At 41.0% G+C, this 14,651-nt stretch overlaps 1 pseudogene; it reads right to left on the minus strand.

Moving 5' to 3' along the window:
* Window positions 1-1,741: 1,741 nt before the first annotated feature.
* Window positions 1,742-3,146, minus strand: HNRNPA1P39 (heterogeneous nuclear ribonucleoprotein A1 pseudogene 39; annotated as a pseudogene).

Genomic DNA, 14,651 nt, shown 5'->3' on the forward strand with positions numbered 1-14,651 from the left:
CATTTATAATTGCTGTTTTAATCTCCTTGCCTACTTTTTTTTTTTAGACAGGGTCTTACCCATGATAGAGTGTAGTGGTGCGATCTTGGCTCACTGCAGCCTCAACCTCCCCAGGCTCAGGTGATTCTCTCACCTCAGGGACTACAGGCATGTGCCATAACACTTGGCTAATTTTTGCATTTTTTGTAGAGATGGGGTTTCGCCATGTTGCCCAGGCTGGTCTCAAACTCCTGGGCTCAAAGGATCTGCCCGCCTTACCCTCCCAAAGTACTAGCGTTACAGGCGTGAGCCACCGCGTCCGGCCCTTGTCTACTGTTATCATCTATGTCCATTTTAAGCAGTTTTGATTAATTGATTTTTTTCTCATTATAATTTTTCTGCTTCTTTGCATGCCTTACAGTTGTCTTTTTTTAATTAAATGTCAGACATTGTAAATTTTACTTTGTTGGGTGCTGGATATTTTTATATACCTGTAAACATCCTTGAGCTTTTGAGACGCAACTAAGTTAACCTGGAAAAAGTTTGATCCTTTTGGTTCTTGCTTTTAAGCCTCATTAGGTGAGATCAGAATAGCATTTAATCTAGGGCCAACTTTCCTCCACTATGGAGGCAAGACCCTTCTGAGTACTCTCCCCTAATACCCCATGAATTGCGAGATTTTCAAGTCTGGATGGGGGAAATGGCACTATTCCTGGCCCCACACGAGCTTCTTATGAGTAGTTCTTTTCATGTGTTGTTTTCTCCCGTGCATGTGCTGATAAGCAGTCAGCTAAGTACGTGAGGGAGAACCTCTCGACGTTTTGGTGATTCTCTCTTTCTCTGAGACCCTTTCTTCTCTCCGGTATTTTATTCTGCAAACTCCAACAGCTTTGGTTTTTTGATCTTCCCCAGCATCAGCTCTTCAACTCTCAGCTCTTCTCCTTAAGTCCGGGAGGTCACTGCATCTTGCCTGGCTTCGCCTTAACTCCCCGTGCACTGCAGCCTGGAAACTCTCCTCAGGCACTAAGCCTGGACAATCACTGGGCTCACTTGACTAGCTTCCCATCTCTCAGGGATCACTCTTCTTCATTGTCTCGTGTCCAGTGCCTTAAAAACCATTGTTTCATAGATTTTGTCTGATTTTTTCAGTGATTTCAGGCAGAAAGGTAAATCTGGTCTCTGTGACTCCATCTAGGCTGGAAACAAATCTGTACCGCACTTGTTTTTAATTTACCTGGAATTTATATGGCTGTTAAATCTTCTTGAGTTATTAAATTTCTGAGAATAAGTGTGCTTTACTCTCACTCTTGATTGAAAAGTTTGAATGGAAGTAAAATTCTACACTTAAAATAACTTTCACTCTAAACTTTGAAGGTATATTTTCTGTTTTTGAGCATCCAGTGTTGATAGGAAATCTGATGTTTGTTTGATTCTTGCTCCTTTTTTTCCAAGAGAATTAAATTGTTTATTGATTACACATGATAATGGATGATACACAAGCTTCATTCCCATCTATAATTTTATCTGGTACCATTAATCAATTTAGATATATTGCATAGGATGTGCCAACAATTATTTTTATAACCAATAATTCCATGATTTTGCTTGGGTAATCCCTTTTAATGGTGAACTTCAGGTCGCAACAGTAACTGTCAGTTCAACGACACCAAGGTTTCTCAAGACAATGGCTTCTCCATCCAAGCAGGTTGTATATAAATTCCAAATATAACCTGGCATCACCCTGAAGGAATTCTAACTTCACACTGTTGGGGGAAATTTACCAAGATGGCTTCAGAGTAGACTAACTTTAAACAGCATATTAAAGAAAAAAAGGTTGTTTATTCAGCATCATGATCAGACTATTACATTTAGCAATCAACAGCATGGGTGCAAAAATAAATCTATATTAAAGCCCTTTGTTGAAATGCTTTACACTTTCCACAGAACAGAAACTAAAATAACCTGTTATACCATTAGTCACAAATACAGTCCTCGAGTTTTTTTGCCCATACACAAGAGTATTTGTCTAAAACATGTATTCTTTGTAGCAGCTAGCCCCTGCCACCACCGTGCTTGGCTGAGTTCACAAATCTGTTGTAACCTGTGGCTTTCCTGTCACTTCTCTGGCTCTCCTCTCCTGCTAAGCTTTGTGTCCTAATTAAAATATTCTGCCACTGCCACAGTTACTGCTGCTACTGGAACCGCCATAGCCACCTTGGTTTCGTGGTTTGGCAGAGTATTGGCCTCTACCACCATAGGGGCCAGAGCTTCTGTCTTCAAAGTTTCCTCCCTTCATGGGTCCAAAATTTGAAGACTGATTGTTGTAATTGCCAAAATTGTTGTAGCTTCCACCACCTCCAAAATTGCTTCCATCATTACCAAATCCATTATAGCCATCCCCACTGCCACCATATCCACCACCACCACGGCTGCCACCAAAGCCACCACGACGACTAAAGTTCCCTCCAAGACCAAAGTTGTCATTCCCACCGAAACCACCTCCGCGACCGCCACCAAAGTTTCCAGAACCACTTCGACCTCTGTGGCTGGATGAAGCACTTACCATCTCTTGCTTTGACAGGGCTTTCTTAGCTTCTCAGTTGTGGCCATTCACAGGATGGTATTTCTGAATGACAGTCTTCTCCACGGAGTCATGGTTGTCAAAGGTTACAAAGGCAAAGCCCCTTTTCTTGTCACTGCCTCAGTCAGTCATGATTTCAATCACTTCATTTTTTCCACACTGTTCAGGATAATCTCTTGGGTGATGTTCTTCAGTGTCTTCTTTAAAGCCCCCAACAAATATCTTCTTCATAGTTAAGTGGGCACCTGGTCTTTGAGAATCTCCTGAGACAGCTGTCTTTGTCTCCACAACTCTTCCATCCACCTTGTGTGGCCTTGCATTCATGGCTGCATCCACCTCCTCCACAGTGGCACATGTGACAAATCCACAGCCCCTGGAGCGCTTGGTGTTTGGATCTCTCATTACCACACAGCCCGTGAGCATTCCGTGTTGCTCAAAATGGCCCCTCAGGCTCTCATTGGTTGTTTCAAAGCTCAAGCCTTCAATGAAGAGCTTCCTCAGCTGTTCGGGCTCTTTAGGAGACTCTGACTTAGACATGACGCCAGGGAGAAGAGAAACTTTAACGATACTTCTTCGGCGGCGTCCATGATTCTTTCTCCTTTGTAAGTAACTTTTTTTCTTTCTACAGGATTTTAGAATCATCTCTTATTTATAATGTTCTGAAATTTCAGTGATCTATCTAGGTAGAGGTTTTTAAAAAATAGTATCTGTGATATTATGAGTTTGACAGTCTAATTTTGATTTTATAACCTATTATAAAATAAATATATGTTTATTAAGATAAAAATATTTGTCCATGCCACCTAAAATCCAGTATCACCAGTGTTATGTCTATCACTTTTGGAAAACTTTGGATTAAAGAATAGCATTAAGAAAAATTACATGGCGGGTGCCTGTAATCCCAGCTACTCATGAGGCTGAGGCAGGAGAATGGCTTGATCCCAGGAGGCGGAGGTTACGGTGAGCCGAGATAGTGCCACTGTACTCCAGCCTGGGTGACAGAGCGAGACTCTGTCTCAAAAAGAAAAGAAAAGAAAAGAAAAATTACAATAAATTATCAGGGAAAATTCTGAATGGGTGATGACTGGGTATCTTTTCAGTGGGAGTTGTCTAAGAGATCCTTTGGAATTATCTGACTATATGGAGAGTTGTGGTTTTCATCACAGACTGATGGTTATATGCAACTCTGTAAGTTGTTGAAAACTTATAGTAATGCAAGACCAGGGGAGGTGGCTCACATCTGTAATCCCAGCCCTTTGGGAGGTCAAGGCAGGCGGATCACTTGAGGCCAGGAGTTCAAGATCAGCCTGGCTAACATGGTAAAACCCTGTCTCTACTAAAAATACAAAAATTAGCCAGGCATAGTGGTACATGCTTGTAACACCAGCTACTCGAGAGGCTGAGGCATGAGAATCACTTGAACCCAGGAGGTGGAGGTTGCAGTGAGCCGATATGGCACCACTGCATTCCAGCCTGGACGACAGAGCAAGACCCTGTCTTTAAAAAAAAAAAAAAATCTTATAGTAATGCAAATGAGTCTTGTCCATAGACATGGCAATAAATTGTGTCCGGTGAAGATGAAATTGATGACCACTCTGTGGAAAAGATGATTCCAAGCATTATTCTATTTCTTGTAAATATTGCTCAGTTTTTCATCTATTGACAAATTCATTTTGGCATTCCTGATTGCCTCTATGTGTGTTTGTTCTTTTAATCCCCTTTGAACTGGTTTTAATGTATTGGTGTTTTCCTTACTAATTAGTGTGTTAAATAAAATCTTTGACTTGTTATTTTTATTTTATTTTTGAGATAAAGTTTCACTCTGTCATCCAGGCTGGAGTGCAGCGGTGGGATCTCAGCTCACTGCAACCTCCGCCTCCCAGGTTCAAGTGATTCTCCTGCCTCAGCCTCCCAAGTAGCTGGGACTACAGTTGCACCACCACACCTGGCTAATTTTTGTATTTTTAGTAGAGATGAGGTTTTACCAGGTTGGCCAGGCTGGTCTCGAACTCCTGACCTCAAGTGATCCACCCCTTTCAGCCTCCCAAAGTGTTGGGATTCTAGGCATGAGCCACCATGCCTGGCCAAATTTTTAACTTTTTAAAATATTTGTATGACGGTCACACTTTTGCCTTATTTTAAAAATAACATTTTATTAGTAGCATATATGAATTATAATGTATATCATTATTATAATGTTTGAGAGGAGTTGGAGAACAGACTGGCCTTTGGAACAGAGTACATTTTAGGTAAGTCCTGGCTTCTTATTAAATCCTCTACAACAAATCTGGCTGGTCACCTATTTCTATAAATAAAGTTTTGTTGGCACACAGCCAAACTCATTCATTTACATATTTTCTCTGGCTGCTTTTGTTCTGCAAAAACAAAGCTGAGAGTTGCAACAAAGACCATATGACCCACAGGCCAGGGAGCAGAAGCTCCCTCTACCCCTGTAGAACATTGGAACCAAAAGGTGACAAAAGGATTTTTGAGTCCCTACTGCCTCCTGTTTGGTAACAGTTGTTAATGGAATGAAGTCTGAGTGCTGCTAGAGAATGCACTGTTCCTTGGGACTGCAACAAGAAGTGATGTCATGATATTATGGCATGATTTTCCTGAAGTAGCTAAAAAGGGAGCAACATTCTCCTGGAGTCTCTGGTGTTTCCCTTGTGATTTTGAGGATGACTGTGCCTTTATCTCCTATCTGCCACCTGTGTCGTGTTAGGTGAGTCCTTTAATTGCTCTGGGCTCAGTTTCCTCATACATAACTTGAGGTTATTGGATGACTTCCCGGGTCTCTTCTATCTTTACAAGTTCATGTCAATTTCATATATAGTTTGTTTCTTAATTTTGTTCTCACTTATCAAACATTTATTTTATATCTATTACGTGTCAGGCATTTTACCAGTCACTAGAGATATAGCAGTGAATAATGGGACATGGACTCTGGCCTCACATTAATAAAAATGACAGCAAGCACATTATCAATAATATCTGATATCACACTATACTATAGGTTCTGAAACACTTTTACAGGCATTTTTATATTTGGCCTTCAGTACAGCACTGTTAACTGGATAGGCCAGGTATTATTATTTGTATTTTACATATGAAGAAACTCAAACACAGAAACATTAAATTGGCCAAGGTTACATGGTACTGATATCACCAACTAAGATGTAGATATTTTGATCCTGATTATTTTCAAAAAAGTTTGTTCAATGAAACATTTCAGGCTGGGAGCAGTGGCTCACGCCTGTACTCCCAACACTTTAGGAGGCTGAGGCAGGCAGAGCATGAAGTCAGGAGATCAAGACCATCCTGGCTAACATGGTGAAACCCCATCTCTACTAAAACTATAAAAAAATTACCCGGGCATGGTGGCAGGCGCCTGTAGTCCCAGCTACTTGGGAGGCTGAGGCAGGAGAATGGCGTGAACCCGGGAGGCGATGCTTGCAGTGAGCCAAGATCGTACCACTGCACTCCAGCCTGGGCGACAGAGCGAGACTCCGTCTCAAAAAGAAAAAAAAGAAAAAGAAACATTTCAAACATATAAAAAATAATAGTACAGTAAATCCCATGTACTCATACCCCCAATTTAAAAAATAAATTTTTTTTTGAGACCAGATCTCATTCTGTCACCCAGGATGGGGTGCAGTGGCATGATCCCACAGCTCACTGCAGCCTCGACCTCCTGGGCTTAGCTGATCCTCCCACCCCAGGCTCCCAAGTAGCTGGGAACACAGGCATGCACCACCATGCCCAGCTAATTTTTGTATTTTTTATAGAGATGAGATTTTTGCCATGTTGCCCAGGTTGGTCTCGAACTCTTGGACTCGAGGGATCTGCCCATCTCGACCTCTGAAAGTGCGGGGATTACAGGTGTGAGCCACTGCCCCCAACCCCAAATTAGCAATTATCAAGATTTTGACTATATTTTTTTCATCTTCCCCCTTTTTTCTTTGTAGAAGTTTTTTGTTTCTGTTTTGTTTGGGGTTGTTTGTTTGTTTGTTTGTTTGAGAGAAGGTCTTGCTCTTTCACTCAGGCTGGAATATAGTGGCTTGAACACAGCTCACTGCAGTCTCAACCTCCAGGGCTCAAGCAATCCTTCCACCTCAGCCTCCCCAGTAGCTTGGACTGACTACAGGTGTGCCACCACGCCTGGTTAATTTTTAAATTTTTTGTGGAGACAGTGTCCCACTATGTTGCTCAGGCTGGTCTCGAACTCCAGGGCTCAAGAGAATCTCCTGCCTCAGCCTTCCAAAGTGCTGGGATTACAGGCATGAGCCATTGCACTTGGCCTGTAGACGTATTTTAAGAAAATGCCAAACATCATGTCATTTCACCCCTTTATCCTCAATATAAATCTTTAAAAAGTAAGGGCATTTTTCTAACACCACCACAATGCCACTTTCACCCTTAATAACATCAAAAATAATGTTTTGTCTCATTTAAATCTAATTCTTGAATTCTTGATGTTCATTTGGGTAGAATAAAGTTTAAAATCATTTTGCTATTTGGTCACACACTGACTAACCAAGGATCATATAAATTTGTTTCACAACAGTTTATTGGTTCCTAGATCATCTCTCCTTTCCTAAAAGACTTATTTTGTGTCAGGGAATATTATATGTTAGCTCCCCTTTTTCCTTAGTGCCTTAGTCCATTTGTGCTGCTATAACAGAATACCTGAGACTGGGGAATTTATAACAAACAGATATTTATTGTTCACAGTTGTGGAGGCTGAGAAGTCTGAGATCAAGGTGCCAGCAGTTTAGGCATCTAGTGAGGGTCCGGTCTCTGCCTCCAAGATGGTACCTTGAACTCTGCATCCTCCAGAGGAGGGGGAACACTGTTCCTCACGTAGCAGAAGAGCAGAAGAGAGAGAGCCCACTCCTGCAAGCTCTTTTTTTAAAGCAGCATTAATCCACACACAAGGGTAGAGCCCTCATGACTGAAATGCCTCCCATTCAGCCCCACCTCTCAACACTGTTGCAATGAGGATTAAGGTTCCAGCACATAAATTTGAGGGGAACAAAAACATTCAAACCATAGTATTTGGTTATAGAATTTTTAGCTAGAAACACAGCCACAGGAAAAAAAAACTGTATTTCCCAACCTTCCTTGCTGCTGGATATGGCTTCTGAGTAAATTCTAGTCCATGAGATGTTAACTGAATTGTTGAGTTGAGTTTCTGGGAAGTGTTTGTAAGGGTAGACGGCATGTTTTCTTTGCCCTTTCTCCTTCCTGCTCACTAGAATAGAGAAACAGTAGCTGGACCTGAAGCATCTTGACCTATGAGGCTGTGTACCAAGAAGAATAGGTAAGACATTAAGAGAGAAGCACTCAATGAGGATGCTAAGGCATAAAAATAATACAATGCACTTTGGAGACTCAGGGGAAAGAGTGGAAGGGGGGTGAGAAATAAAAGACTACATGTTGGGTACAGTGTACACCGCTTGGGTGATGGGTGCACCAAAATCTCAGAAATCACCACTAAAGAACTTATCTATGTAACCAAACACCACCTGTTCCCCCAAAACCTATTGAAATAAAAAATGATTTTTAAAAATCATAGATGACACAAGAAATGAGAAAAAAAGAGGGAGAGAAAAACACTCAGATCCCTGATGATCCACGGAGTCACCATATCAGTTTGGAAGTAAACTTTTTTCTGCACTTCAAGCCAATGTTCTGTATTTTGGTTTCTGATTGCTTTCAAACCTGTAGCCAAACAAACCCTAACTTATACACATTGCTCTATACTTCTTTCCCCATCGCTCAATTATGGTAGGACTAGACACAGAGAAAACTGGATTTGCTCTGAGCTAAGGCCTCCTCATCTAACATAACTGTTAACTGAGATGTATTCCATTAAACTTAATGTTTTTTTGTTTTTGGGTTTTGTTTTAGAGACAAGGTCTTGCTCTATCACTCAGGCTGGAGTGCAGTGGGGCTATCACAGCTCACTGTACTCTGAAATTCCCGGGCTCAAGTGATCCTCCCACCTCAGCCTCCTGGGTAGCTGGGACTACAGGCGCACACCACCATATCACCCTAATTTAAAAAAAATTCTTTTTTTTTTGGTGGAGATGGGATCTCACTACATAGCCCAAGCTGGTCGCGAACTCCTGGCCTCAAATGATTCTCTTGTGATTTGCTGGGATTACAGACATAAGCCATAGCACCCAGCCAAACTTAATGTTTTAAAATGAAAAATGTTCAACTTTCAAAACTCCTTTCCCTTAGGTCTGTCCTTGCTATATAATCAACATCTCCTCTGCCTTCTTAATTGATTGGCTACTCAAATATAGCAGTTTCTTGGTTTTTAAAAGTAGTGTTCTGGCCAGGTGCTGTAGCTCACGCCTGTAATCCTAGCACTTTAGAAGGCCGAGGCTGATCACTTGAGCCCAGGAGTTCGAGATCAGCCTGGGCAACATGGCAAAACCCCGACTCTAAAAAAAATTACAAAAATTAGCCGGGCATGGTGGTATGTGCCTGTAGTCCCAGCTACTTGGGAGGCTAAGGTGGGAGGGTCACTTGAGCCTGGGGAGGTTGAGGCTACAGTGGGCTGTGATCGCGCCACTGCACTCCAGTCTGAGTGACAGGATGAGACCTTGTCTCAAAAAAAAAAAAAAGAGTAATGTTTTGTTCATATGGTTTGCAAAAAAGGATTTGGAGAAGGCTAGAAAAGATCTGAAATACTGAATGAGTAACAATCACTGAATGCCGGAAAAAGCCCAGCCTTGTTACCTTCTCTGATCTCTGAAAATACATCAGCAATTGCAGAGCTGTTGCTGGTGAGCTACAGTGAGCTGTCACCATTGATGTAGTCATTATTAGAAGATCACAGTATATGCACAGAAGTTCAAATATTGTTAACAGGTCTACATTTAAAAGGTTTCTTATGTAATTTTACAGCTGATAAAGCAACCCCTGATGACACAGTGAAATAGGATCAGGATATTAAAGCATTTAAACATAGGTTTTTAATTTATTAACCAAACATTAGGACATTTCCTCAGTCTCTTTTCATATTTAAAAAAAGGAAAAGAGAAAAATACTTGCGGTAACAAAGAAAAGTCTTAAGGTTTCTTTCAAAGATGCAGGCTGATTTCCAATATTCCAAACCTTTGAATTACGTAATGAAATGGGAGCTAATAAAAAAGAATGCACACCTGACAGATTGAATATTTTTTCTATGATTAATAATTCTCTATTAAAGCAATCTATTAACTTTTATTTTAAAGAGATGTGAGTGATCGAGTTATTAGATCAGCACCCTCAATTTTGGGCCAAATGAGAAACTCCTGTAGATTTTGTAATTCTAGACACCTCGTGAGCTGCTGTTCATTTGCTGATGAGATGTTTAAAGAATTGCAATGCACTAAGTTGTACATGTAAGACCAAAATGTTAATCAAAACACTGCGGCCAGATATGGTGGCTTACACCTGTAATCCCAGCACTTTGGGAGGCCGAGGCAGGTGGATCACTTGAGGTCAGGAGTTCGAGACCAGCCTGGCCAACATGATGAAACCCTGCCTCTACTAAAAGTAGAAAAATTAGCCTGGTGTGGTGGTGTGCACCTGTAATCCCAGCTACTCGGGAGGCTAAGGCATGAGAATTGCTTGAACGTGGGATGTGGAGGTTGCAGTGAGCCAAGATCAAGCCACTGCACTCCAACCTGGGTGATGGAGTGAGACTCTGTCTCAAAAATAATAATAATAATAAAATAAAAATAAAAAAAAAACTGCAAATCTTACACTTTCAAGACATTTATGGAAAATAATTCCTAATAAAGAAGGCATAGGGGATATGTAAAATTCTTCTTTATATCTTAGTCTTTGAGGAAATACTTTAAATTTCAACCACCATAGACAGTGAAAAATAACTCTCAGATGCCTATTCTTTGCACTCTGTTAGATGCTCCCTTTATGTGTTCATATATGTTTTATTGCAGACTGTATTTTCCCAAAGTGGCTGAAACAGTATCTGCTATTCCAAGTGCTCTTTTTATAATGTGACCTTAACATTTGTCTTATGGATAAGTGGAGTTTATGTCTTTTCCCCTTAAACTTGGGCAAACACTTGCGACTGTCTCAATAAAAGAGTACTGGAGAGTGATGTTACATAAATTTTGAGTCTAGATCACAAAAATGCCATGTTTCATCTTGCTGTCTTAGGACACTCAATACAGGAATTCAGCTGTATGCTGTAAGGAAGCCCGCACTTACCCATGCAGAGACCACATGATAGGTGTCCTGGTTAAAACCCAGCATGCTGCTGGGTGCAGTGGCTCACGCCTGTAATCCCAGCACTTTGGGAGGCCAAGGCGGGCAGATTACCTGACGGTAGGAGTTTGAGACCAGCCTGGCTAACATGGTGAAACCTTGTTTCTACTAAAAATACAAAATTAGCCGGGCATGATGGTGCAAGCCTGTAACCCCAACTATTCGGGAGGCTGAGGCAGGAGACTCACTTGAACCTGGGAGGTGGAGGTTGCAGTGAGCCGAGATTGTGCCATTGTACGCCAGCTTGGGCAATAAGAGCGAAATTCCATCTAAAAAAAAAAAGCCGGCATCATCTGCCAGATAAGTGAGTGAAGTCATATCCAGGTGATTCCAGCCCCCAATCGTTGCATTACCCACAGCCTTTGAGTCTTCCTGACTGAGGTTTCAGATATGGTGGAGTGAAGACAATCATCCATACCCACTGTACCCAATCTGAATTCCTAACCCAGAGAATCTGTGAGCATAATAAAATGGTCATTTTATGCCACTAAGTTTTCAGGTAATTTGTTACACAATAATGGTAACTGGGACATATATGTTACCTACAAGCCATATTAATGACAATACTCTCAATTTCTTATAAATTTCCCCTGGATAAAACCATACAATAAGCCTCATGTATTTTCAAAGTAGTCTTCAAATGTGAAAGAAGAATAATAGCAAATGACCCTAAAGGGAACCAAGATATGAAAAAGTTACAATTCATATATTAATAGAATCACATGCCTTTTCATTGGCCAGAATTAAGACCTTTTGCCTTTCAGAATTAGCCTTTTCCTCAAAATCCATGTCCTCAAACAAATTAGTCCCACTTAGTTTTTTCTTCAAATTGTTATCTTTCTAAGTAGTCTCTTTCTTGAGTTCTAGATCCTTGACTCTCAGTCTGCTGAGCCTTTTTTTTTTTTTTTTTTTTTGAGATGGAGTGTTGCTCTGTTGCCCAGGCTGGAGTGCAGTGGCATGATCTTGGCTCACTGAAGCCTCTGCCTCCCAGGTTCAAGAAATTTTCCCACCTCAGCCTCCTGAGGAGCTGGGATTACAGGGGCGCACCACCATATCTGGCTAATTTTTGTATTTTTAGTAGAGACAGGGTTTCACCGTGTTGGCCAGACTGGTTTTGAACCCCTGACCTCAGGTGATCCACCTGCCTCGGCCTCCCAAAGTGCTGGGATTACAGGCGTGAACCACCACACCCGGCCGAGCTTTTCTGCTTAGACATTCCACCATTCTCTCAAACTTAGTTGGTCTCAAACCAAACCCATGTCTTCTTTGAAAATCTGAATCTTCTGAGAGAGTAACAAAGCAAATGATGCAAAATGTTAAAACCTGGCGAATCTCCTAAAAGATAAACAGGAATGTTTCTTTGTAAGATTCTAGCAACTTTTCTGTAAGCTTCTAATTATATTTCAAAATAAGGAGCATGTTAAAACAGAAAAGAAAAGGGATAAGGACTGGAAACAAGAACTGAATTTACTACACAGCTCTCTAATTCTGGTAGTAATGTCTGTTGTTACTGGTGGTTAAATACTTCAGAGTAATCTTTCATTCCAGATTTCCTCAGCTCTTCTAATTAATCAATATTAATTTGTCTTTCTTTTTTGCTATCTGTAGTTAATATTTCTATTTCTCTCTTCCCAAAACCCAGCACCCCTTCTTATGCTAAAAGTGTCAAGATTTTCCTCTGGAGAGCCATTCTTCCCCAGTTTTAGATCTTACATAAGGGTGGGATTCAAGAATGAAAATGTAACCCAGGTATAGCATCTTGCAGATGGTCAACAAAGGAGGAGCAAATTCCTTTAATAAAGTTTAAGTAGTTAAGAAAAAGTCCTAACAGATCTTGCTGGTTTTGCTCTCTTTTACATTTTGCTTTAAAAAATGTGCTTATTAGGACTTTATATAATATGTATGTATGTGTATATATATATGTGTGTGTGTGTATACACACACACATAAACACAGAGACAGGGAGAGAGAGTTAGTGCGGGGTGAGTTTAGTATAGAAAAATTACATTTTCTGCAAAAAGAGTTGATTCTCTTTCTGTTTTTTTAGTTCTTGCCTTGGTCAAAATATAATTCCTCAAGTCAAAATATTATACTTAGGTAGGTAGGGCAATCTAAAATAAAATCCCAAGGATGAGAACCTTCATTCTTTCAAACTTTGTTGAACTGTTATATTGAAAGAATAACCTCCTGTTTTGGATTTTGGCTTCTTTTGGTCCTCTGCAGAATGACTAAGTAAATGAGCCCCAGAAGGCCCATGAAAGGCAGTCTCTTACTAACAGGGGCAGAACCACCCCATACTTCTTTTGCCATCTATTGACTTACCCACACTATAGCTCCAGGTCTTAAAACCTTCTATTCAAGAGAAAGGATATGGATATTTTTATAAAATCAGTTTGTGTGTGTGTTTTTAAGAAAAGAAACCTAGAGCTATCTGCATTACAAGCATGACTGAGAAGGGGATTTTGTTCAGAGGGAAGTAAATATTTTCACCAACATTCAGAGTCTAGTTGCTCCCAGAAGTCCTAATGTATATCTTTTTTTCCTTGCTGAGTCTTACCTACTTCACCTCCTTAAAATGCCAACCCATGAGCTGGGTGCATTGGCTCATGCCTGTAATCCCAGCACTTTGGGAGACCAAGGCAGGCAGATCACGAAGTCAGGAGTTCGAGGCCAGCCTGACCAACATGGTGAAACCCCGTCTCTACTAAAAATACAAAAATTAGCTGGGCGTGGTGGCACGTGCCTGTAATCCCAGCTACTCAGGAGGCTGAGGCAGGAGAATCACTTGAACCCGGGAGGCAGAGGTTGCAATGAGCCAAGATCGCACCATTGTACTCCAGTGCTCCAGCCTGGGCAAAAGAGAAAGACTTTGTCTCAAAAAAAAAAAAAAAAAAGCCAACCCATGGTTTATCAAATCTACAAAACTCAATGCAATGTGCATCACCCCCTTTCTTCTTCCTTTTTCTCATTAACTAGCATCATTGCCCTCTTTGGCAACTGCACAGTTACTAGGTATTGCCAGAAAGATTCTATAATAGACTATTGGCTCTTCTGCTCACTTTTTCCTCCTGCTAAGTTTTTTTTTTTTTTTTTTGAGTTGGAGTCTCGGTCTGTTGCCCAGGCTGGAGTGCAGTGGCATGATCTCGGCTCACTGCAGCCTCTGTCTCCCAGGTTCAAGCAATTCGCCCACCTCAGCCTCCCGAGTAGCTGGAATTACAGGTGTGCGCCACCACACCTGGCTAATTTCTGTATTTTTAGTAGAGATGAGGTTTCACCACGTTGGCCAGGTTGGTCTCGAACTCCTGACCTCAGGTGATCTGCCAGCCTTGGCCTCCCAAAGTGCTCGGATTACAGGCGTGAGCCACGCACCCGGCCTTTTGCTAAGTTTTTAGGGACTGTTCTAATACCCTTTAACCATCCCTCCTCTTTTTTTCTTTTTTCCCCTTTTTAAAATAAATGAAGCCTTTAGATTTGTTTTAGTTTTTCTTCTCACCTACAAGCTCCACTGGCAGGTTGAGGCCCTTGTATGGTATCCAGTGATAGACGTTGAATCCATCCTTACTGGTATTTGCTCCTTGGAGGTGAAAAAAATAAATGTTTTATAAAGGTCAAATTGGCCTTATCAAACAAAACATCTGCTAGATCAGTGAATGACTGGTGACAGCAGGAGACAGCAGTGCTGGCCTCTCCAATAGAAGTCACTGCAGTTAATGGAAGCTATTATGGGAAAATTCTGGCAAGAAGTTTTCTTTTTTTTTTTTTTCTCCTTCAGACAGCTAAAATTTTTTTAAAGAAAAAA

The sequence above is a fragment of the Homo sapiens genome, chromosome 2 (genome assembly GCF_000001405.40).
Source record: "Homo sapiens chromosome 2, GRCh38.p14 Primary Assembly".
Lineage (NCBI taxonomy): Eukaryota > Metazoa > Chordata > Mammalia > Primates > Hominidae > Homo > Homo sapiens.